General features: G+C 39.0%; 1 long non-coding RNA gene across 2 annotated transcripts in view; it reads left to right on the forward strand.

Annotated features, from left to right (window-relative positions):
- LOC105370733 (uncharacterized) overlaps window positions 1-23307 on the forward strand; it is a 440742-nt gene that overhangs the window by 403269 nt on the left and 14166 nt on the right. The window contains exons 3-4 of one of the 2 annotated variants that reach the window (XR_007064537.1): window positions 3913-4046; window positions 8032-8666. This is a non-coding gene — a long non-coding RNA (uncharacterized LOC105370733). Of the gene's footprint in view, window positions 1-2390; window positions 2531-3912; window positions 4047-8031; window positions 8667-23307 lie in introns of those variants that run through there. The other variant, XR_007064536.1, reaches the window with a different exon arrangement.

Consider the following 23307-nt stretch of genomic DNA (forward strand, 5'->3'; position numbering starts at 1 on the left):
AATTCACCCCCAATATTTCACGTGGGTTCTTTTCTATTTTCCCTAAGTGTCAGCCGGTCTGAGAAATAAAGGGACAGAGTACAAAAGAGAGAAATTTTAAAGCTGGGTGTCTGGGGGAGACGTCACATGTTGGCAGGTTCCATGATGCCCCCTGAAGCATAAAAGCAGCAAGTTTTTATTAGTGATTTTCAAAAGGGGAGGGAGTGTACGAATAGGGTGTGGGTCACAGAGATCACATGCTTCACAAGCTAATAAGATATCACAAGGTAAATGGAGGCAGGGCGAGATCACAGGACCACAGGACTGGGGCAAAATTAAAATTGCTAAAGAAGTTTTGGGCATGCATTGTCATTGATAACATCTCATCGGGAAACAGGGTTTGAGAGCAGACAACTGGTCTGACCAAAATTTATTGGGCGGGAATTTCCTTGTCCTGATAAGTCTGGGAGCACTACGGGAGACCGGAGCTTATTTCATCCCACAGCTACAACCGTAAAAGACAGCTGCAACCGTAAAAGACAGCTGCAACCGTAAAAGACAGCTGCCCTCAAAGCGGCCATTTTAGAGGCCTCCCCTCAGGGACGCATTCTCTCTCTCAGGGATGTTCCTTGCTGAGAAAAAGAATTCAGCGATATTTCTCCTATTTGCTTTTGAAAGAAGAGAAATATGGCTCTGTTCCACCTGGCTCACCGGCAGTCAGAATTTAAGCTTATCTCTCTTGTTCCCTGAATATTACTGTTATCCTGTTCTTTTTTCAAGGTGCCCAGATTTCATATTGTTCAAACACACATGCTTTATAAACAATTTGTGTAGTTAACGCAATCATCACAGTGTCCTGAGGCGACATACATCATCCTTAGCTTACAAAGATGACGGGATTAAGAGATTAAAGTAAAGACAGGCATAGGAAATCACAAGGGTATTGATTGGGGAAGTGATAAGTGTCCATGAAATCTTCATAACTTATGTTCAGAGATTGCAGTAAAGACAGGCACAAGAAACTATAAAAGTATTAATTTCAGGAACTAATATATGTCCATGAAATCTTCACAATTTATGTTCTTCCACCATGGCTTCAGCTAGTCCCTCCGTTTGGGGTCCCTGACTTCCCGCAACAATAAAATTAATATTATTCCACTTTTCATGTTGTACCTTTTGGAAAAAACATCAGTATGCACAGCACATACATAAAAAGTGGGGAATTATGCCCCATTGCCCTATGGACAGACCTTCTATAAATGTCATTTGTGTTTCTGTAAAAAAAATTTAACATTCTTTGGGCTGTTCTAGATCAATTGCATTTTTCTGTGTGTTCTAGAATCAGTGGTCCAAGAATTGCTAAAATTGAAAAAAAATTAAAGTTAGAATTTTAGTAGGGCTTGTATTGAATCTGAAGATGCATTTAGAAAGTATAAGCATCTTGGTTAATACTTAATAGCTTTCTGATCAATGAAAATCTAGTTCATATAGTATATTATGCTAACTCTTTTATTCATTTATTTAGGATTTCTTTAATACTTCAACATCATTTGTAATTTTCAGTATATATATCTTACAGTTATATTAGGTTTATTTTCAAATATATTTCCTTTTTGATGCCGTGTTAAATGAAATTGTTTTCTGTTTCGTTATTTGATTAGTTTCTATTGTATAAAATGCAATTTATTACATTGATCATGACTGAATTTTTTTTTGTTCCAACCTTATTTTAGTGGATTTTTAAGGATTTTCTATACATTAGATTATGTCACTGGCCAATAGATGTTTGACTTCTTCCCTTTCAATTTGGAAGTCTTATATTTATTTTTCCAGCCTAATTTTATAAATTACATCCTCAAGAATATTTAGTTGAATTAGTGGGAATAGATAACCTTTTGTGTTTATAATTTTGGGAAAATTACTGAGACCTACTTGATACCATGTGTTGTCATGTGAATTTTTCATGGGTGCCTGTGTTAGGTAAGAACATTCCCTTTCTGCAAAATTTGTTTAGTGTTTTTACTGTGAGTGGGTTTTTGAATTGGAAAGTGCTTATTCCATATCTTTAGATGTGATAATGAAAATTTTGTTATTTATTATATTAATATAGTTATTACACTAATTCTTTTTATAGGTTTTACCAAACTTGTGACCCTGAGTAAATAAATAAATAAATTAGTGTTTAATTCTGTTTTACAATCCTGGTTTGTGTTCAGGCTATTTCCTTGAGAATTATTGCCTGGGTACCCATAAAGCATATTAGTTTATAGTTTTCCTTGTTTGGACTGCGTTTGTTTGATTGTGGCCTCAGAGGAAACTGCCTCATAGAATGTATTGCACACTGATCTCTTCTCTATTATTTTGTTTTTTTGGAGAACGGTTAGTAAAAAATTGCTGTTGATATTTTAAAGGTTTCAAATAATTCATCAGTGAATTCTTCTCAACCTGGTCAATCATGTGAACTTAGAAGATGATTCCTCCCCAGCTGATCCTCAGGTGAGACATCAGCCTTGGCCATCATCTACATCTGGATTCCTGACCCAGAGAAACTGTGAGTAATTTGTGTGTGCTTTTGAGCCACTAAGCTACATGGTAATTGGCTATTCTGCAATAAACAATAATACACTTGATGATAAACATAATATGTTATCCTTGATTAGATCCAAGAAAAGGAAAAATGGCATTAGTGAAAAACCTGGTAAAATATGAAGACAGTCAGTAGTTTAGTTAATAGTTTTGTGCCTTTATCAGTTTCTGAGTTTTCATAGATAGTCTATGGTTATGTGTATGATATTAATATAACAGGAAATTGAAGGCTATATACAAATTTATGTAAGATTTTAACAACTCTCTGTTAATCTAAAATTATTTCAAAATAAATAGAAGTGTAGACATGGCTCATATATTTGAGATCATGTCTTCCTGTTAACTTATTTGAGCCTTCATGGAACTAAATCTCATGGTACAAATGCAGTAAGGTTTTAAAATATAAATCAGATGAGTTTCTATTTTACTCTCTTCTTCAGGGAACACTAAGACCCATTCTTCTTCTCAAGTATCCAAAAATAAAGTTGATCCAAGTAAGAAGTGGACAGCATAAAAGATTGTATGGAAGCTATAATGCATCTACATCTGCAGTAACTAATCATAAAATGATTTGTATGATCATTCTTCACATGATTAGAATTACTATGGGAAAGAAGAAAAAGAAATGCAAGTTTCTTGATTTAAAATTTTATCTGTGCAAGTGTGGTGGCACAAACCTGTAGTCAGTCCCAACTGCTAGGGAGGGTGGGTAGGATGATCATGTGATACCAGGAGTTTGAGGCTATATGGTGTACTATGATTGTGTTAGTGAATAACCAGTGCATTCCAGCCTGGGCAACGTAGTTAAACCCCATTAAATAAATAAATAAATAAGTTACAGAGGTCGTTGTTTATATTTCTATGATTAGGGCTGAAATCCTCTAGATAGAGATTTTTTTTTTTTTTTTTGAGATGGAGTCTCGCTCTGTCACCCAGACTGGAGTGCAGTGGCGTGACCTCAGCTCACTGCAAGCTCCCCCTCCCAGAGTCACGCCATTCTCCTGCCTCAGCCTCCCCAGCAGGTGGGACTACAGGTGCCTGCCACCACGCCCAGCTAATTTTTTTTTGTTTTTAGTAGAGACAGGGTTTCACAGTGTTAGCCAGAATGGTCCTGATCTCCTGACCTCCTGATCCGCTCACGTCTGCCTCCCAGAGTGCTGGGATTACAGGTGTAAGCCACCACGCCCAACCTGAGATTTTTCCTTATCTTTGGAGAGCCACCACTCCAGTGCAAACTTTCAAATAATGCCTTGCCATTTTTAGTTTCCCTCCCTAGGACTCCTGGAACCATAGTTCATAAAATTATCTCACAGCGTGTGTTTTATTCTTACTTCTGTTTGCTTTAAGGCCTCTCTGGATGGTGACTATAACCTATAGCCTTGCCCAATATGACTCAGGATTTGGTACTGGCTGTGCCTTTCATGGGATGCTTACTTATCCTGGTCGATGGCCTAAAGCCCAACCGTCCAGCTTATATCCAGGTATCCTTCTCACAGAGTACTTGTTTATACTGTAAGACACCCTGTGGCTCCTGTCTGACCTGTGTCTAGTTTATTCTACCAAGGAAACCACTCTTTAGGAGAGTGCTAAGTGGGAGAAAAGTGATGTCCATATGTGTTCATAAAGTGAAATACAGAGGAGGCAACTCAGCAAAAGGTGTATAATGACATGCGTAATGTATTACTAACCAATCCCAGTAAGAAGAGGGCAGCATTCCTTGAAGTGCTGATGGACAGAGAAGAGCTCTCCAGGACATACACTCATAAGCAGCAGGGGTGGTGGAGGAGCAACTAGAGAAAGACATAGTATTGTGCCATTTGGCTGAAGTCTTTATGGGTGTATTTGTCAGTTATTTTTTTTCAGAGAGACAGAACTACAGGGAGGTAGTTAGGTAGGTAGATAGATACATAGATGGAGAGTTGATAGATAGATAGACAATCGTTAGATGAACAGCATTTTGTTTGGGGATTTACTCATGTAACATTATAGAGATGGAGAATTCCCAAGACAGCCATCTGCGAGTTTAAGGACCTTGGATGCTGTAACGTGGTGGCTCATTCCAAAGCTGAAGTCTTCAGAATCACAGAAGCTCTTGGTGTAATTCTTAGTTTGGGACCAATGGCCTGAGAATCCAGGGCATTTACTGGTATAAGTTCTGGAGTTTGAAGGCCATATATCATGGAGTTCTATTTTCCAAGGGCAGGAAAAGGAGTATACTTTCTCCAGAAGAGAGACAGGAAAACTTTTTAAAAATTTTTCATTTTTGGTTTTGTTTAGTCCCCAAGGAGATTGTATGCTGCCTTCCCCCATTGAGGGTGGATTTTTCCCACTAAATTCCCTGACTCATACATCAGTCTCCTCTGGAAACACCCTGGCAGACACACCCAGAAGTAATGGTTTACCAATTCTCTAGGTATTCTGTAATCCAGTCAGCACCTTAAATTAACCATGACAAGTCCAGCACCTTTCTAGTTGGCACCTATATGTATCACCTTAAGCCCTAACTAATCTTCAGATATAGACAATAACAAGGCAATAGTTCTACGTAACATGATTCAATGATCCTGTGTGCAATGAGAACACACTATACTATTTTTCTTAAGAGTAGTAGAAGTTTGTGGGTGATGTTTACTCTTCTCCTGATACCCCATAACTTCAGTACAAATTACTAACACTTAACTGCTAATATCAAGTTAATACATTATTGTGTTATGTGACAACAGAAGAAGAGAGAAATAGAAACAATGTTATTTGCCTAATATATTTATATATAACACGCAAATGTATTCTTAACAAAGTAGATAGGAAATAATAGTGACAATTTTAATCCTTGTTTCTGTAACTGGTCACCTAGTCCTGTCTGGTTATGTATGTATTTATTTATTTACTTTTTTATTTTTATTTTCATTTTTGAGACAGAGTCTCGCTCTGTCACCCAGGCTGGAGTGCAGTGGCATGATCTTGGCTCACTGCAAGCTCCGCCTCCCAGGTTCACACATTCTCCTGCCTCAGCCTCCCGAGTAGCTGGGACTACAGGCGCCCGCCACCACGCCTGGCTAATTTTTTTTGTATTTTTAGTAGAGATGGGGTTTCACTGTGTTAGCCAGGATGGTCTTGATCTCCTGACCTGGTGATCTGCCTGCCTTGGCCTCCCAAAGTGCTGGGATTACAGGCTTGAGGCACCACTCCTGGCCCTGTCTGGTATTTGTAACTCCCTTCTACTGCTACCCATTCGGTATTCTCTTTGTCTTCAGCAAGCCCCTCTGCTGGTCCTGGGTCTTTACCTGGCAGGATGATGCAAACCTTCATTCCTGAAAGATCTGGAGCATTTGTATTCTTGTCTGGAATGGTTGTAATAATCCATTGAACTTAATAACAGGGCATAGTAATACTAAGACTTTGTTTTAGTCCATTTTCTGTTATTTATAACAGAATACCTGACACTGAGTAGTTGATAAAGAAAACACATGTATTTCATACAGTTATGGAGGCTGAAAAGTCTAAGGTTGAGAGGTTGTATGTGGTGAGATCATGTTGCTGGTTGGGACTCTCTGAAGAGTTCTGAAGTCTACAGGGTATGGTATGGCAATGGAGTAGAGCTTGCTGACATGCAACAACATGTCTCCCTTCTTATAAGCCACTCTTCGCTCATAGTAGACTATTAATCTTTAAATATTTATTAATCCATGAAAGGATTAATTCATTTATGGGGTCAAACTCTTCATGATCCAATCACCTTTTAAAAGTCTCACAATTCAATACCGCCATGTTAGGGATTAAATTTCAGCATAAATTTGGGAGGGAAGCAATATTCCAACCACAGGCCTCCACTTCTGACTCTAAAAATCACGCCCTGTCACTTACAAAAAGTTTATTTCATTCCTATCGTTCAAAGGCTTAAATTGTTCCAGCACCAGCAGAAAGTTCCCAAATCTGAAGTCTCCTCTGTCAGCCCATGAAATCAAAACAAGTTATCTTCATACAAAATTCAGCAGTTGGGTTGTTAATGGCCAATGGGTTCATGTTGGCTGCTGCCCAGATAGAGTCACTTTATCAAGATAGGGGAATTGCTGTAGAGAAGATTTTATACATGTAGAGCTGGCTAAAGGAGAGAGCAGAGTTTTCGTATTACTCAAAACTGCTTCCCCAAATATTCAGAGGGTAGAGTTTTTATAGATAGTTTTGTGGGCAGGGGTTAGAGAAAGGGACATGCTGATTGGTTGGGTCAGGGATGAAATCTTAGGAAGTCAAAGCCATCTTCTTTGCTGACTCAGCTCCTGGGTGTGGGCCACGTATCCAGATGAGCCTGTTTACTGGTTTGGGTGGCACCCGCTGATCTGTCAGGATGCAAGTTATGAAAAATACCTCAAACACCAATCTTAGGTTTTACAATAGTAATGTTATTGATAGGAGCAATCAGGGAGGTTATTAATCTTGTGGCCTCTGATGGTATGACTTCTGAGCCATACTTTCTAATATTGTGGTTAATTTGTTAGTTTTACAAAGTTGATGTGGTCCCCAAACAATGAGGGGTTTTGTTTCAGGGAGGAGCTGTTATTATCTTTGTTTCAAAGTTCAGCTACAAAGTAAATTTCTCCCAAAGTTAGTTTTGTTTTTACCCAGGAATAAGCAAGGGCCACTTGGAGGTTAAATGCAAGATGAAGTCACTTAGGTCATGTCTCTCTCCCTATCATAATTTTCTCACTGTTACTGTTTTTGCAAATGTGATTTCAATTTCCCCTTCCAAGTTTCATTGCATCTTATTCTTAACGGGTGAGGTACAGAGTTGGGAAAAGGCCAAAGACCATTCTAACTTCTTCCTGCTGACAAAGGGTATACTTGAGATAGGGTTTGGCCCCAGAGTAAATGGAATGAAGCTGCTTTGCAGCTGCCTGCATGTGTTCACAGGTGCCTGGTTGGGGTTCCTAGGCTTGCATGGCCAAGATGTTAGTGCTCTCATCCACAGTTTTAGTACGGCACTTAAGTGAACAGCTGTCTATAGGATAATGAGTCCTAATATAAGGAGTGGAAGTCCTAGCTTCAGAAGTCCTTATATACTTCATCTAAATCCCTGAGGGATTTGGGTGAATAGCCCCAAGGACCAGTCAGACATGGGGTCAATAGTCAAGAGAGATTTGGGTCAGAGGTTGTTAGAAAGACAAATTTGGATAAACAGGAAAGAGCAAATTTAAATATACCATCTCATATCTTTTTAGTTAGTTTCCTAGTCCTCAGAATAGATCCTAGCTGTGTTTCATTCCAGGAGGTGTCACTGCAAATGAACTAGGCCCCCTTATGTGATTAAGGCAAAAATATTTTTAATAACAGGCATTGGTATGGAAATAGAACATAATAACAAAGGTTGATATTGGGCACAATGCATCCAGATGTTAGATTCAAAGCATTTTTAAATTGCAAAGGAGGATAGTGATAAAAATCTCACATATTTCACATCTGTATCTCAAGGGATAAACTCAGCCTGCGGGGCCTCAGGAAGAAGGTCGTAGCCATTTCATTGAGTCCAGGGCAGAAAAGTGGAAGAAAAATGTGAATGTGTTAATTTGAGGACTTTAGCTCTGAGAGGTTTCAGGATTCAGTCCAAAATGCAGAAAACAATAAAAAGCTCAAAAACAATGGACAAGACTAGAATCTAACAACAGGTGTGCTATAGTATTTTTCTGAAATACAATGTTTTGCTCTCTAGTTCTCATTTTTATTTAAGACGTATCATAGTAGGTCACATTTATTTGCAAAATAAGTTTTGGTATTATTATACTTAGCCTGATTATTTGTGTAACGAGTCATAAAATGATTATTGTGGTCTTGTATTAGTTCAGTCCATGCAGTGAACTTTGTCTGACATTGGGCCTGCAGTCCTCATAAACATACCAGCTATCTCTGAGAGTCCTGAAAGTTTGTTTGTTTTGTTTTCTTTTTTTTCCTATTTCAATGCCACAATCTATAGTTATCAGAAACCTATATTCAAGAGAACATTTCAAAGAGCAAACACCTTTTGACTAGTTGAAGAAAAGACCACAATAATCTGTGGATGACAATAATCTCAGGACAGTCATTGTTTTAATAATTTTACTTGATTTTTTTGAGACAGGGTCTCAAGCCACCCAGGCTGGAGTGCAGTGGCACAATTATGGCTCACTGTAGCCTCACCTTCCTGGGATCAAGCAATCTTCTTTCTTCAGCCTCCAGAGGAGCTGGGACCACAGGCAAGTGCTACCACATCCAACTAATTTTTTGATAATTTTTTGTAGAGATAAGGTCTCACTATCTTGCTCAGGCTGATCTCAAACAACTGAGCTCAAACAATCCTCCCAACTTAGCCTCCTAAAGTTCTAGGATTACAGACATGAGCCACCGTGCCCAGTGAGGACATTACAGGCATGAGTCACTGTGTCCAACGAGGCCATTGTTAAAGATACAGTCGACAAAGAAATCTGGTCATTTCTGTGGCACATAACAATTCAATGTAATAATCATAATTATTACTGATAACATATGCTAAGACCTATTAGAATTATAGGAACCATATAATTTTGGAATACATACTAATAACATATTTGTATAAATATAACCCAAAGAAAGTTAAACATGATTTTGTATTTGACAGTGTTTTCTGTAGGTTAATATACCAAATAAGCCAAACATATCTCTTTTGGACTTCAGGGGACCTAATACTTAAAAGGCTAATGAGTTAAAATAAAAATTCTTAGTTTATAATTTTATTTTTCAAAGTGTGCAAATATTAAAGGTTTAAAACACTTCATATCACGAAATAGAATCCCAGATAACCACAAATCATTTGTTTAGCCAAAATGATAGCTCAAAAATTTAATAAGGCAAATGCCTTTATTCATTGGTAGAGAGGAGACTCAGCTCCCAAACAACAGGACCAAGCAACGACCGCATGAGGCCATCTGAATCTGTGTCTTCTCTCTCCCCTACATTTTTCAGTTTATTTAAAAGACAAATAAAAATATTTTATTATCCCTCAGTATTATACAAAAATCTTGTTTAAAGAGAAACCAAATTTTACCTTTGCCTTAGTGTTTTATTAATGTCAAACCCAATTTTTACATAAAACCTTATAAACAAATCTGTCCAATCTAAATCAGTTTGAGCATACTGTTTACAATTTTCTACTAAACAACTGATTAATGCTCCATGAAAACTCTGTTGATCACATATAAGGGGGCAGATTCTGGGCCTGTATCACTGTGATTTTTACATTAATGATCATTCTGTAGAAAAACTAAGTAACCTGCTTCAAGTTTTGGCAAGTTGCTCACACTCACACACAGAACTTTCTTTACTAGACCAATCTTTTACAAACCTTGTATAACTTGCTTAAACCTTCTGTTTTCTCCTATTACTTTTTAACTTAAGACAATTTTTAAAACCTCTAATTTAGACAAGATTACTTTTTTAAACAAAAACAATATCTTCAGGTCTTTTTATAACTTTTTACAAAAACACATTTTGTAATTTTTATATACCTTGAATGTAAATCTTTTCTCAGCAGTATCAATCACATGTGTTACAATGTTAAATCTTCACAACTTTTATTTTTAGTGAAAGCAATTTTAATTTCGTACCAAGTGCAGAGCCTAGGACACAGGACAGAAATGAAGATAATGTCTGACTCTTTCCAACATAGCTCGGGGGCATGGCTAACTCAACATGTCCCCAGGCTTTACCTAGAAGCTGCTGGCTCTAATGCAGGCAGGTTGGACACTAACAAAAAGTCACAGATATTTATAACCTAAAACAGCAAAGAGAATATCTGACCTGCCTAATTTAGACCAAATGTCTAAATGTTGAAGAAATACTTTTATTGTACCAATAATCTTTAAAGCTATCTTTATTATTCAAAGATTATTAGAGTCATGTGAACAAAGAGCAGTTTAGTTAAAATTTTTCTGGTAAAATATTTTATTTAAGTGCATATATATGCCAATTAATTAGAGCTCTTTATATAGTTTGTTAGCAAAATACTACATATATGAAGTATATAAATACACAGACATAGAGAAGCAGATCTGGTAGAGTTATACGGATTCGTCATTTGTCAGTTTTTGAAGTTTTTCTTTTTCATTTTAGCTCGTCAGTCTCTTGATTACCTGTTCCCTGCCCTAAAAAGGTTTTAACCAGGCAGTTCCAAACTTTTATTTTAAAGGGATAATTCTTAGGTGAAATAATTATAGAGAATTTATATTTTATCTAAAGCAAGGAGAAATGTGGGGGTAAAAGTTCAGTCAGGATGGCCAGGAAAAGCAGACACTCTTACATGTGGAGATTTTCTTAAACGTGTTAAGTTTTTAAATGGGATTATTGCCTTTGGAGTGGAACCTTATAAGGAACAGAACCAGGAAAGCATGCAGTTTCTAGGGCCTAGTAAGCAGGCAGAGCTGGAAGGCAAAACAGATTCCCCTAAATGAGGAATCTTATTTTTATACCAAATCCTGGGTCCCCTAAAGAGGCAAATAATATGGCATGACACAGTGCAATGCTTTCACAGTGTGTTTCATTTTAAGGACATTTCCCCAAGGCTGCTGGACAACCCAGTGCCCATCAGCCCACTCTGTAATCGGCCCATAAGAGCACACCTTTCTTATTTAAATGTACAAATAAAAGAGTATCACCCTGTAGTAATAATCACTTACTATAAGCGACTACCATTAGTCATTTTAAAAAGTATATTTTTTATCTAGCAATTACACATCAAGGTTAATTTTTTTTCATAATGCAAAGTAATTTCAGGTCCCTGCAAGTCAAAATGGTTAGATACAAGAGGAAGGAGGAACAGACAGGAGTAAATGGAGGATCAGATAGAATTCCATTGAATGAGAAACTTTTAGAGGGAGAGCAAAGGCTTTAAAATACTATCTGTGCACATGTAGCTCAATATCAGCCTTAATCAAGTTGATTTTTGATTACAGAGCTCTCAAAAGAAAATCTGCTGAAATCTTTTATTAATAGATTTTAGCCAGGACAAATAGGTAGTATTTTTGGCTTTAAACTTTTCCAAAGGTAACTGCCCATGAGAAACTCAGAAGCCTAACTAAGGTTATGACTTAACCATGGATGCATGAAGTGTCTCACAGAGATGGCAAGCAGTTTTTGCAAGATTGAGAATTTCCCCAAAGATAGCTTATAAAGGAAAATTTAAGACAGAAAGTGAGAAGATGTCCATGGAGAAGAAAATCATCGAATGAATGGCAAAAAGTCTCCAAATATCACACTAGAAAGGGCTTACTGCTTGAGGTGAGAATCAAACCCAGGCTGCTGCAGTAAAAGGGAAAAACCTTAGTTACTGAGCTACAGTATGGGGCAGTTGCTGTTGGTCAGAAATAATGTAGGTCAGTCAGCTCCAAGCTTCAAGGATTTTAACTGCTCAAGAGAATCCTTAAAGCTAGCTGTGACATTATTATGTATCCTTTCAGACTGGCTGCCTGACCTGAATCCAGAAATTCCAACTCTGTGTATGTGGGAGAACAAGGGACAGCATCCTCACATGGTTACTAAGTCAAGTTTTCAAGAACATAAAACAAGATAAGAGGGAAACTTCAACTTTTTTGTTTCAGGGAGGTGTAGCAAATTTTGTAACTAACAAGTCTGCAGGGCCAGCCCAAACAGTGGGCTTATAGGGATCCTAGGCCCCTTAGGTTCACAGTATGAATGCTGTCTCTAGGAGCAATTGGGGATGTTAGTAATGTTATGGCCTCTGGCTGTATGGCTCTTGAACCATATTTTCTAATCTTGTGGTTAATTTGTTGGTTTTACAAAGGTGGTCTGGTCCCCAAGCAATTAAGGGATTTGTTTCAAGGAAGGGCTGTCATCTTTGTTTCAAAGTTAGGCTATAATGTTAATGTTCCCTTTGTCCAGGAACAAACAAGGGCAGCTTTGAGATTAAAGCCAAGATGGATTCAGTCAGGTCATATCTCTTTTACAGTCATAATTTTCTCACTGTTAGAATTTTTTCAAAGGTGATTTCAGGATAAACATAATGTACACATTCCCATTCTATAAGAGAGAAATAGACACAAAGAAAACAGTAACAGCCCCTAAGTAAATTTGAAGTCCAGGAGGGCAAACATTACATCTTAAAGCTGGAGAGCCTTTTTTTTTTTGTTTTTTACTCCTTAACATATTGGGGTGAGGGTTGGAGTGGCAAGCCCTAGGCAGTGTCACCCCTAAGGGTTTCCTTGGTGAATCACCCGTGGGTGCTTGTACTGGTTGAAATTTTCCCAGGCAGGCATTGAATGCCACAGGGGACTTCACAATCCTGGGATCCTGGTATTGGCACCACTAGGCATTACCCATGTGGAACTCTCTGCAGTGACTTCAGTTCTGTGGCTTCACTTGGCATTGCCCTGGTGGGGACTCTTTGCAGCAGCTCCAACCCCACATTTGTGTTTGGCATCCTTCTACTGGGGGCTCTCGGCAGTGGATCTGACCCTGTGACAGTTCTCTCTCTGGACTCCCAGGCTGTCAAAAAAAAAATACTTTGAAATTTGTGGAGGCTGCCAAGCCATCATTTATGCCTTAAGTGTGAGAAATATATTTATTTTCCTTATAAATTACCCAATATTTTGTATTCTGTTTTAAGCAACAAAGAAGGGACTAATACAGAAAACTGGTAATGACAAGTAGGTTGTTGCTGAAAATGAATACCTGAAAATATGAAAGTGTCTTTCAAACTGGGTGATGGGCAGAGGCTAAAAGAATCTTGGAGAGGCAGACTAGTAAAAGCCTGTATTCTTGTGAGGGTTTAGAAGATAGGAAATATTTGGGAGTCCTTAGAGACTGATGAAGTGTTTGTGACCACACTGCTTCGGGAGAAATGGCGCCATATAATGCATGCTGGTTCAGAGCATATACTGCCTTCTAGAGAACCTTGCCCCACAGTTACACAATATTGTCATCTAGCAGGTGCTGGAACTGTAACTCCCAAAGGTCATTCCACCATTGTTTCAAGTGAGTTGCTTCAGGATTATAGGGAACATGGTGAATTCACTGAAGTTTCTGAGCATGAGCTCATTTCTACCCTTCTTTGTCTGTGACGTGAGTTCCTTGTTCAGAAGCAATGCTGTGTGGAATACCATGATGGTAGATAGGCATTAAGTCCATGGATGGTAGTTTCCACAGAATACTTGCATGCAAGGAAGTAAAATTTATAGATGGAGTAACTGTCTTACTATTCCAGGAAGAACAAAATGCTGCCCCTTCCCTGATGAAAGCTGCCCAATGTAATCAACCTACCACAAGGAAATTGGCAGATCTTCCTGGGGAATGGTGCCATATAGAGACTTGGTGTTAGTTTCTGCTGCTGACAGTTGGAACACTCAGAGGGGTCTGTAACCTGGTTGGCCATGGTGAAAGGAATTCCAGATTGCTGTGTGTATGCAAAACCTCAGTCCCTACCACAGTGGCCACTTTATTCATAAGCCCGGTGACTGATGACATAGGTGCCTGGGAAAAGAGGCTGACTACTGTCAGAGAATGCATGATCACATCCACCGGATGATTAGAGTCCAGAAGAGCTATGGTAAGAGAGTGAGTCAGTTTTCCTCTGTTTCCCAGCACAGTTTAGCCAACGTTCTCGTTAAGCTTTAAGTGGCTTTTTCTGCTTCTCCTGAGGCCTGGGGTCTCCTTGCTGTGTGGAGTTTTCAGGGGATTTCTAGGTCTTGGGCTACCTTTTGAGTGATTTAAGATATAAAAGCTTTCCCACTGGCCGGGCATGGTGGCTCATGTCTGTACTTTGGGAGGCCAAAGCTGGCTCATGCCAGCACTTTGGGAGGCCAAGGCAGGCGGATCATAAGGTCAGGGGTTTGAGACCAGCCTGGCCAACATGGTGAAACTCCGTCTCTACTAAAAAATACAAAAAAACAGCCAGGCGTGGTGGTGGGCACCTGTAATCCCAGCTACTCTGGAGGCTGAGGCAGGAGAATTTGTTGAACCCGCTAGGCAGAGGCTGCAGTGAGCTGAGATCACGCCATTGCACTCCAGCCTGGGCAACAGGGTGAGACTCCATCTCAAAAAAAAAAAAAAGAAAAAAAAAAAACTTGTCCACTACATGGTTTTAGGCAGCCCAAACCCAGGAAAAATATCCTTTAAGAGATGGCATGATACCTCCGAGGTGGTATCAGAGCGAGTTGATCACCTTTATCCATCGTGGGAAGATAACAACCACACCTAGAAGGTATCTAAAGTTCCCGGGGGTCTGGAGCATGACCGTAAAGTGTGTTTGCCAGTCCTTGCCAGGGTAAATTCCCCTAAATTGTACTCCTTAACATGAGGCCTTGAGGGTGATCTGTTATGGGGACTGTTAGTGTGGCAGAGAGAGCAACTGTGGGTCACTTGCTGCACTGTCTCCAAGGTTGGGAGTGGTCATCGTTTGAAGGAGCCAATTGTACAGGGTTATCTACCATAATGTGAGCTCTCATGGGCCTCCTTAACTACCTGGATAGCTATGGATTTTTGAAAAAATAATTGTGAGAAATTTCAAACCATCCTGGATATCCTCTGCTTTTTAAGAAGACTTCCCAGGGGGATTACTGCTAGGGAGCCAGTGTGCCAATTACAGAGACTGCTGGTGTCAAAGAGGCTTTGGGTCTCAGGGGAGACCAGGTGTCACAGTGCTCTTCATGGCTTCATGGGGAGAGTCTAACTCAGGAAATATTTGCTTGCCTTCTCTGGCTTTTATCCTCGTGGAAGTCAATTTACATGTTTTCTTGTAGTCCCTTATTCTGGCATAGGGCCATTAATACCTTTTTTTTGTTTGTTTGTTTGCTTTTTGCTTTTGGTAAAAGAGATCTAGTTAGAGAATTTCCCACTATCTGAAATGAAAATACCTTATAAGTGTTCAGAGTACTTGTTACTGCACATCCACTAGTTTAAATCTGCATAATGTTATCAATGCCTTGGACCAGTGTAGTATCCTGTGGAAGGAGAAGGTGATCAACTTCCTGCAAACTGTGACTTTGTTATGGAGAGTTGATATTATGTTGAGGTAGGACAGAGAAGTTATTGACACTGAAATTAAACGACTTCTGGTGGGCCTTATGAAGAGAAATAGAGAAAAAGCTTCATTAGATCAATAGGTGCATACCAGGTATCAGGGAATGTGTTAATTTGCTCAAGCAATAAAACTACATCTGATATAGCAGTTGCAATTACAAGGAACACTTGGTTTAGCTTGTGGGAATCCACTGTCACTCTCCAGGATCCATCTGTCTTTTGCACAGGCCAAGTTAGACAGGGATGTGTTAGAATCTCTACCCCTGCATCCTTCCAGTCCTTGATGGTGGTGGTAATCTCTACAGTCACTCCAGAGGTGTGGTTATGAATTTGATTTTCTATTTTCCTAGGTAGAGGCAGCTCTAGTGCCTTCCATTTAGATATTCCCACCATACTAGCGCCCACTCCACAGGTCAGGGAACCAATGTGGGAAATGTGCCAGGTGCTAACTATGTCTATTAAAGCTTTGCATCTACAACTAGAGAAATGACCAGAGTATGTGTTTGGGGCCACTGGACCCATGGTGATTTCATGTGACTAAAATTTAATCACCTGACCTCCATAAATCCCCACTCTGACTGGCATTCTATAGTGATGTTTTGAGTTGGGTTGAGTCTTCTGGAATCAATGTAAGGTCAGAGCCAGTGTCTACTAGTCCTGAAAAGTTCTTACTATATTCCTTTCCCCAAAACACAGCTGTTAAAAGGTTATAGGTTCCCTTTTGGGAAGGACAGGAGAAAGATGAACAGTATAAAGTTTTTGTGGTATACCTGGGTCCTTCATCAAGGGGACCTGGCTGCTCCTTTTTTCAAGGAGTTCTTGACTATAAACTGGCTCTAGTCTTGGATTTTAGTAGGAGCTGTGATTCTCTATTATTTTGATTTGAGTTAGGCTTTCGTAAACATAAATGTTTTCAGTATTTTCAGATCAATTAAGGGTTTATTAGGCTTCTTTTCTATTTTACTTCTGAGAACACCACAGTCAAACTAGCCAACACCATAGATCTACTTGAGTCAGATGCATCTGAATGTTGCTGTACCTTTGCTGCCCATTTTGGTAACTATGTCCATCTTGATTCTGAAGGTTGACAGCTGCCACATGGCTCTGGGACCTGTGAGATCCAGTTATTCCCAATGCATTTAAATTTTCTATTGAGTGACTGTGGTTCTCAGTATAAGCTTCCAGCTACAGAGAAAGTTATTCAAGGATGCTGGTCTCCCCTTAGAAATCAGTTTCTTAAAGTATTGCTGAAAGGTTGGTCTTCTGGAGCCTCCCAGTGTGGGTGAGTAGATTTCAAATGACAAATGCACTCTGGAGTTCCATTCGTTCTAAGCCTTTGAATCTCTTCCTCTACATGAGGCCAAGGGAGATCAGGCATATCCAACTGGCTAAATAAGGGCCATCTTTTGATTTATAGTTCAGCCAACCAACCAAACTGTTAGAGCCCTTTCTAATTTCCCATGCTGCAAAACTAAAACCAGTATCTTTTTTAATGAGTCCATATCAATAAATCTGGGTGATCCAACTTTGTTTCCTCCACTATTATCCTAACTCTTAATACCCTTTTCCACACATGTTCTCCAGATTTCTCCTTGTATAAATTATAAACTCAAATAGTTTTCTTGAACTGTCATGAACCTCCCATGGGCCAAACTTTGTATATCATTTTTAAGGGCATTTTGAGATTTGAGTCTACTTATAGGCCTAGAAGCAAAAAGGAGTGGTGGGTGTGGGGCCTTAGGAGAATCTGCATTGCAGTCCATTACCTTTCCCTCAGGCAATGCTGGCGTAATCCCCTCAGAGGAGGTGGAACCACCTATACCAGTGTGGGTGAAGAGGCTACTGCCAAGAGGGTGTCAGTAGGGGGTCAGGTCTACTGGCAAAGAAGACGTCGGAATTTCAGAGCTCAATGTCTCCAGCCTCAACATGGTCTCCCCAAATGTTCCCAACCCACTCTACAGAGTTCCATTCTTCTCTGTACAGTGCTTTAAATTTACAGTAGGTACCTTGCTAGGCTGAAAGTTCAACTTTCAAAGTAATTCAGCCAACTGCACGGTGAAGGTTTGTGTTTGACTTTTAGCATTTTCAGCCCTGTGACTATAGGAGATATAATTCTCACTCAGAGCACTGTAAGAAGCTCTAAGGCTTTTTATGTGAAGCCGAATTCTGAAATTTGAATCTCTTAGCGTATCTTTTTTATTGATCACTTTACTCATCAACTCTAGAAGCAGAGTCCTTGATTTTCCACAGATATTTAAAGATGTGCTGTCAGAGTCACCAAGTTCCTTGTCTTTTATCGGTGTTGATTAGGAGTGTCAAAGGTAGATGTTTGCATATCCTTTAAGCAGTTTATGACATGGACTAGCAATGTTTTCTGGACTATTAGAAATGGAGGCTTTAACATTTTTAGGTATCATCAGTTTAGAGATCTAAGTTTAGAAACCCCAAAACCAATGAAAGAAACTCATTCCTAAAATTCTGGTTCTCTACAATCATTCATGGTTTAAAAAATAAAACCTGTTTTAGCATTCTTCAGAGATACAGGACCAATAGGATACATATATAGATAGATGGGGGAGCATTAATTAGATAAATTGGGTCACATGATTATGGAAGCCAAGACAGGTCTTCTGTAAGCTGTAAACCATGGAGTACCAGTAGCATGGCTCATTCCAAGGCTGAAAGTCTCAGAATGAGGAAAGCGGACAGTGTAATTCTCAGTCTGAGGCCAAAGGACTGAGAATGTGGAGGGATGCAGAAGTAAGTCCTGGAGTCCCAAGGAAGAGAGTCTGTAGTTAAGATGTCCAAGGGCAGGAGGCAGAGAGTGTACCAGCTCCAGGAGAGAGGGAGAACAAAATCATTCTCATTACTTTTTCATTCTATCGGGACCCCCAGCCCACTGGATGGTGCCTACCCACATAGAGGGTGGATTGTTAAAGAATTCAGGCCGGGCGCGGTGGCTCACGCCTGTAATCCCAGCACTTTGGGAGGCCGAGGCGGGTGGATCATGAGGTCAGGATCATGGCTAACAAGGTGAAACCCCGTCTCTACTAAAAATACAAAAAATTAGCCGGGCGCGGTGGCGGGCGCCTGTAGTCCCAGCTACTCGGGAGGCTGAGGCAGGAGAATGGCGTGAACCCGGGAAGCGGAGCTTGCAGTGAGCCGAGATTGCGCCACTGCAGTCCGCAGTCCGGCCTGGGCGACAGAGCGAGACTCCGTCTCAAAAAAAAAAAAAAAAAAAAAAAAAGAATTCAACTCAGGTCTGCTCACCCAGTACAGTAAGACTAGATACCTACACTGACATTTGCAGTGGGAGAAAAGGAGGTGTTTATCTGGACATTGTGAAGCAAGGCGGATGAGTCAGCTAATGCTTAAGTTCCCACTTCCCCAGTGGCTTGCAGGTAAGGGTTTTTTTAAAGCAGGGGTAAATTTCAGGAAAGCAGAAGTTACTGGCAAAATTGTAAATCAGTACTGGAGGTTACACATTGGTTTTGTCCTGAAAAGTCGTGATATTTTGAAGCAGGTGCTTACAGCCCATACATAGATTCAAGGGTTTTCTGATTTGTAATTGGTTAAAGAAAAGAAGAGTTGTTTTAAAATTTGGGGGTTGGCAGAAAAAAATATTAGCTCTTTGGCTAATGGATTTGCCTCCCTCTAGCCCCTCAGGAAGAAATTTAGCACAAAGAATGGCAGTCAGAATTCAGTTTTCAGGCCCCCCTTATCTGAGGTGTACTTGTCAGCAGATGCCTTTGGTGGGGGTCTAGGTTTCTATGAAAAATGACTCAGGAATGTATGTTAAGATGCGATCTTTAGAACAAAACAAACATCTTCTGACTGTAACTACCTTGGCTGTTGTTTAGGCTACTATTACCTTCTTGCTTATCAAGTTCCTCATTTCTTTCTCAGTGCTAGCTAGGTACCAGGGATTTCCCTTGAAGGGACTCACGATTTTCCTTTATTTCCCTGCTTGGGGAAGCTACAGGCCCCTAACAAAGGGTCCCTGCTCCATCACAGGATCTTACCCACTCTGTCTACCGACTCACATTTCAGACCTTTCTGGTGAAACCTCACAGATCCAGAAGTAATGCTTTGCCAGTGTTCTAGGTATTCGTTAATACAGTTAGTTGACTCCTAAAACTAAACATTACATTGGGTTTTGGAGTGTTACCCAAGCAGGTTTCTCATGAGGAGTTCAAATTGCTGGGTTAAGGTGAAGCAACCATGATTTCCACAGAGTCAAAGTTTGACTGAGAGGTGGTTACTGCCGAATATCTGTGCAGTTCCCACAGGGGACAGTGAGGTGAGATAAAGGTGGTATTCAGCTGTCTTATATGGAGTAGTCACCTTGAGCAGGTTTTATAAGGGGCTATGTTCAATGACCACCTTGAGGAATGTGGAAGAGGCCACAAACTGGAAACTGTCACGGATTTCTAAACCCTATTTCTGGTATGAGAATGTCAACACTATGTACAAAATGAATGCCCAGGTTACATAAAATTAAAACAATTCACAGCAACATTTAAAATAGGAATTCTAGTAGCCCAATAATAACTCTCTCTCTAATCCTGAGGTAGCAGGTAAATTGAGTTGTTCAACTAATTTGAAACTATAGTTAAACATGTTTTCTCAATAATAGACCAGAATACATATGATGAGCCGACAAAATTTTATAGTGAGAAGGGGGCAGTCACAGAGAAAAAATAAGGTGTTCCATTTATTTTAAAAGGCATATTTTTTACATCTTTCAAATAGAGATCAATCATAATATTGTTAAAAGGCTATTGGTTAGAAGACAGTAATAATGTGATGGACTTCATGTGCACACAAGTGAACTTGATGTAAAAAACTTCCATTTTCACATTCTGGTGGTATCTTTAACATCATGACTTGGAGAGGGATGTTAGCAGATGAGAAACATAATCTAACAGAAACTATTATAGTTCTCTCACTACAAATATGGCATCAGCAAAGCTCCTAATTACCAGAGATGATGCTAGTGTAGAAAAAATCCATGGACAAGGTGAGTTGCACAGTGATTTAGAAGAGTTTTATCCAAATATGAGAAATTTTAGAAAACCTTGATTACCTATTTTGCTTTCACTTTCTGTCTTATGTGATCATAGGAGTGATATGACATCAATACACACATTTATATAAGTTCAAAAGTGTAAAAAGTAGAATAGAGGTTCCTCTTCGAAGACTTTCCTCGCCATCTAATTAGAAATAAATAGTAACTTCTCTTAGAAGCAAAATTTTTTCAAAGACCTGTGCTAACATTCTTAAATATCTGCTAGCCGTAATAAAGAAATGAATGTACTTTATGTTCTTAGCTCCCACAATTTAACCTAAATATTTGCCCTGGCATGCTTATACTGGTCCAAGCAAGCATTAGGTCATAGCGTGTTCCTCTTCCTTATTTGAAGGTGTTTTTACCTTTCTCTGGATTCCAAAAGTTACTTCCTCCTTCCTTTGTTCTCCTCTGCCTTTGCCTCTTTTAAAAAGTTCTAAGTTGCTAGCCAGTCGGGACAAATACGGAATGTGAGGTCCTGTTCCAGCCAATGGAAACCAGACACAGCAGTGGGGTGGAAGCATCAGGTTATAAATGACCCTGTCTCCTTTGTTCTGTGCACTCTCATGGCAAAAATGCTGGCGAGTGTACCCTTTCTGAAGAAAATATAAAAATGGCCTTGCTGAGGAAATTAAATTTATATTCAAGTGCTATTTCTTTATGGCACCAGGGAACAGGCATTTCAAACAAAAAGTATTATTTTCAACATATATGACAAAATTTTTGTGATGTCATAGTTTTTCAATAGTTTTATGCTTTTATTGTGATGTAAAATAATGATGTATTTTACAATTGATACATATGATACTTCTCGCAATTACTTGAAAAAAGCTGTCACTGGTAGCAAATAGTAACTTAGTGTTTAGTGTAGACCTATGTAAACCAAAAATGACTGACACAGATCTCATTCAATTCAGAGAATTATTTTGCCAAGTTTAAGGATAAAGAAACACAAGTCACAGTAGGCTCTGTGGCCTGTGCTTTTTCCAAAGAGGGTTTTGCTGACTTCCATATTTATAGGGGTGAGACCAGGCAGGAGCAGGTGGAGGATAAAGAAAGGGGAGGAAAGACAGTGAGGCAAGTACATCCGAATGAGGCCTGAATTAGCACTCACTGCATCCAGATGTTGCATGTGTACAGAGGAATGGAGAAAAAGTTGATTGTGCATTTGTCTTGTGCGTGGTAGATCTACATTTTACATAAGATAGGCAAACTTGTGAAATTACAGCTGTCTCTTTGGGAACAAAAGGAAGGTAGTATTAGCATGACTCAGTTCCTGACTTTTCCTTTGGCATAGTGAGTTTGGGGTCCCAAGATTTTATTTTCCTTGTTCTTCAAAATATTTCAGAGAAAGCATTTTAGCAGAAAATGTGTGTTTGGTTATATTTTTTCCTAATCTTTCAACATTAGGATGGTTTATTCCTAGAAGGTTAGGATCCACATTTTTAAGGAGACTCATTCTAGAAGGTTGTGAAGAAATAGGGGGAATAAGAAATAAAGGGAAAAGATAAGAAAAAAGAGACACAGCTGGATTATAGCAATAAAGTAGAAAGCAATCCTTGAAAACCAATAGACTATATCACAGAGCAGTCCATATATAACTAGACGGTCATGAAAATATTTTATGTAAATAAATAAGATGCTGTTATTTCTCCCAAAGTTTAAGTTTTCTAGTTTCAGTCTGCAGGGCTTTACAAAAAGCACAGATTTCTACTAATTTGAAGTCAGAAAAAAATGGGAAAGAAAAAAAAAAAACATTGAAAATTTTAGTTTGGAGACTGGTAACCAGCAAAGAATTTAGGATCCAGTCTAGCTAAATTGTAAACCAATAATAAAACTGGAAGACAATGAACAGGGCTAGAATCCAATAAAAGATGTACTATAGTTTCATTTGAAATACATTTTTTCTCTCTACAGTCTTCCATTTTTACTAAAGAAAAATCATAGTAAGACCAATTTATTTCCAAAATAAGTTTTAGTTTTATTGTACTTGGCCTGATTATTTTCATAAAGTGCAGCAAGACTATTTTTTTTCCATATAGGCTCTTCTAAGTTGGCACTGATGGAACTTTTTTTTAAACAAAGTGTCTACTATTTTTTTCAAATAGCCCCTCAAGCTCAAACAAGCATTTATTGTGCCTGCAAATAACTGTATGAACTGGGTGAATTCATCTCATCTTGAGGTCGCAAGATTACTTGGAGTTCCTAGGCCTGTCAGAAAGTGACATGCGTTTCTTACCACAGATCAGAAAATCTGTAAAGAAACTGCATAAAGAAGGCACAGGGCCAGTCTCTCCAAGGGAATTTTACTGGTTTTATTATTCAACCTAAATTTCTCAAAGCAATCTGCTCATAGATGAAAATATGCTATTCCAGCCAAAGCCTTGACAAGGTAACCAGTGTCTCCAATTGTGTCCCATTACAAAAAAAAAATTGTTATTGATTATATGCAAATAACTTATATTACCATAAATTAAGAATATTCAGAAATAGTTTTCAAATTCTGGGGAAATCAGGTAAAGAGAAAGAAGTATAGTTGAAATTTTTCTCTAAAGAGTATACCATATTCAATTGTTAAAAACTATAAATAGCTAAGAATAAACCTTTCTTTACTCTGAAAAACAAATATAGTCATCAAT

The sequence above is a fragment of the Homo sapiens genome, chromosome 15 (assembly GCF_000001405.40).
Source record: "Homo sapiens chromosome 15, GRCh38.p14 Primary Assembly".
Classification (NCBI taxonomy): domain Eukaryota; kingdom Metazoa; phylum Chordata; class Mammalia; order Primates; family Hominidae; genus Homo; species Homo sapiens.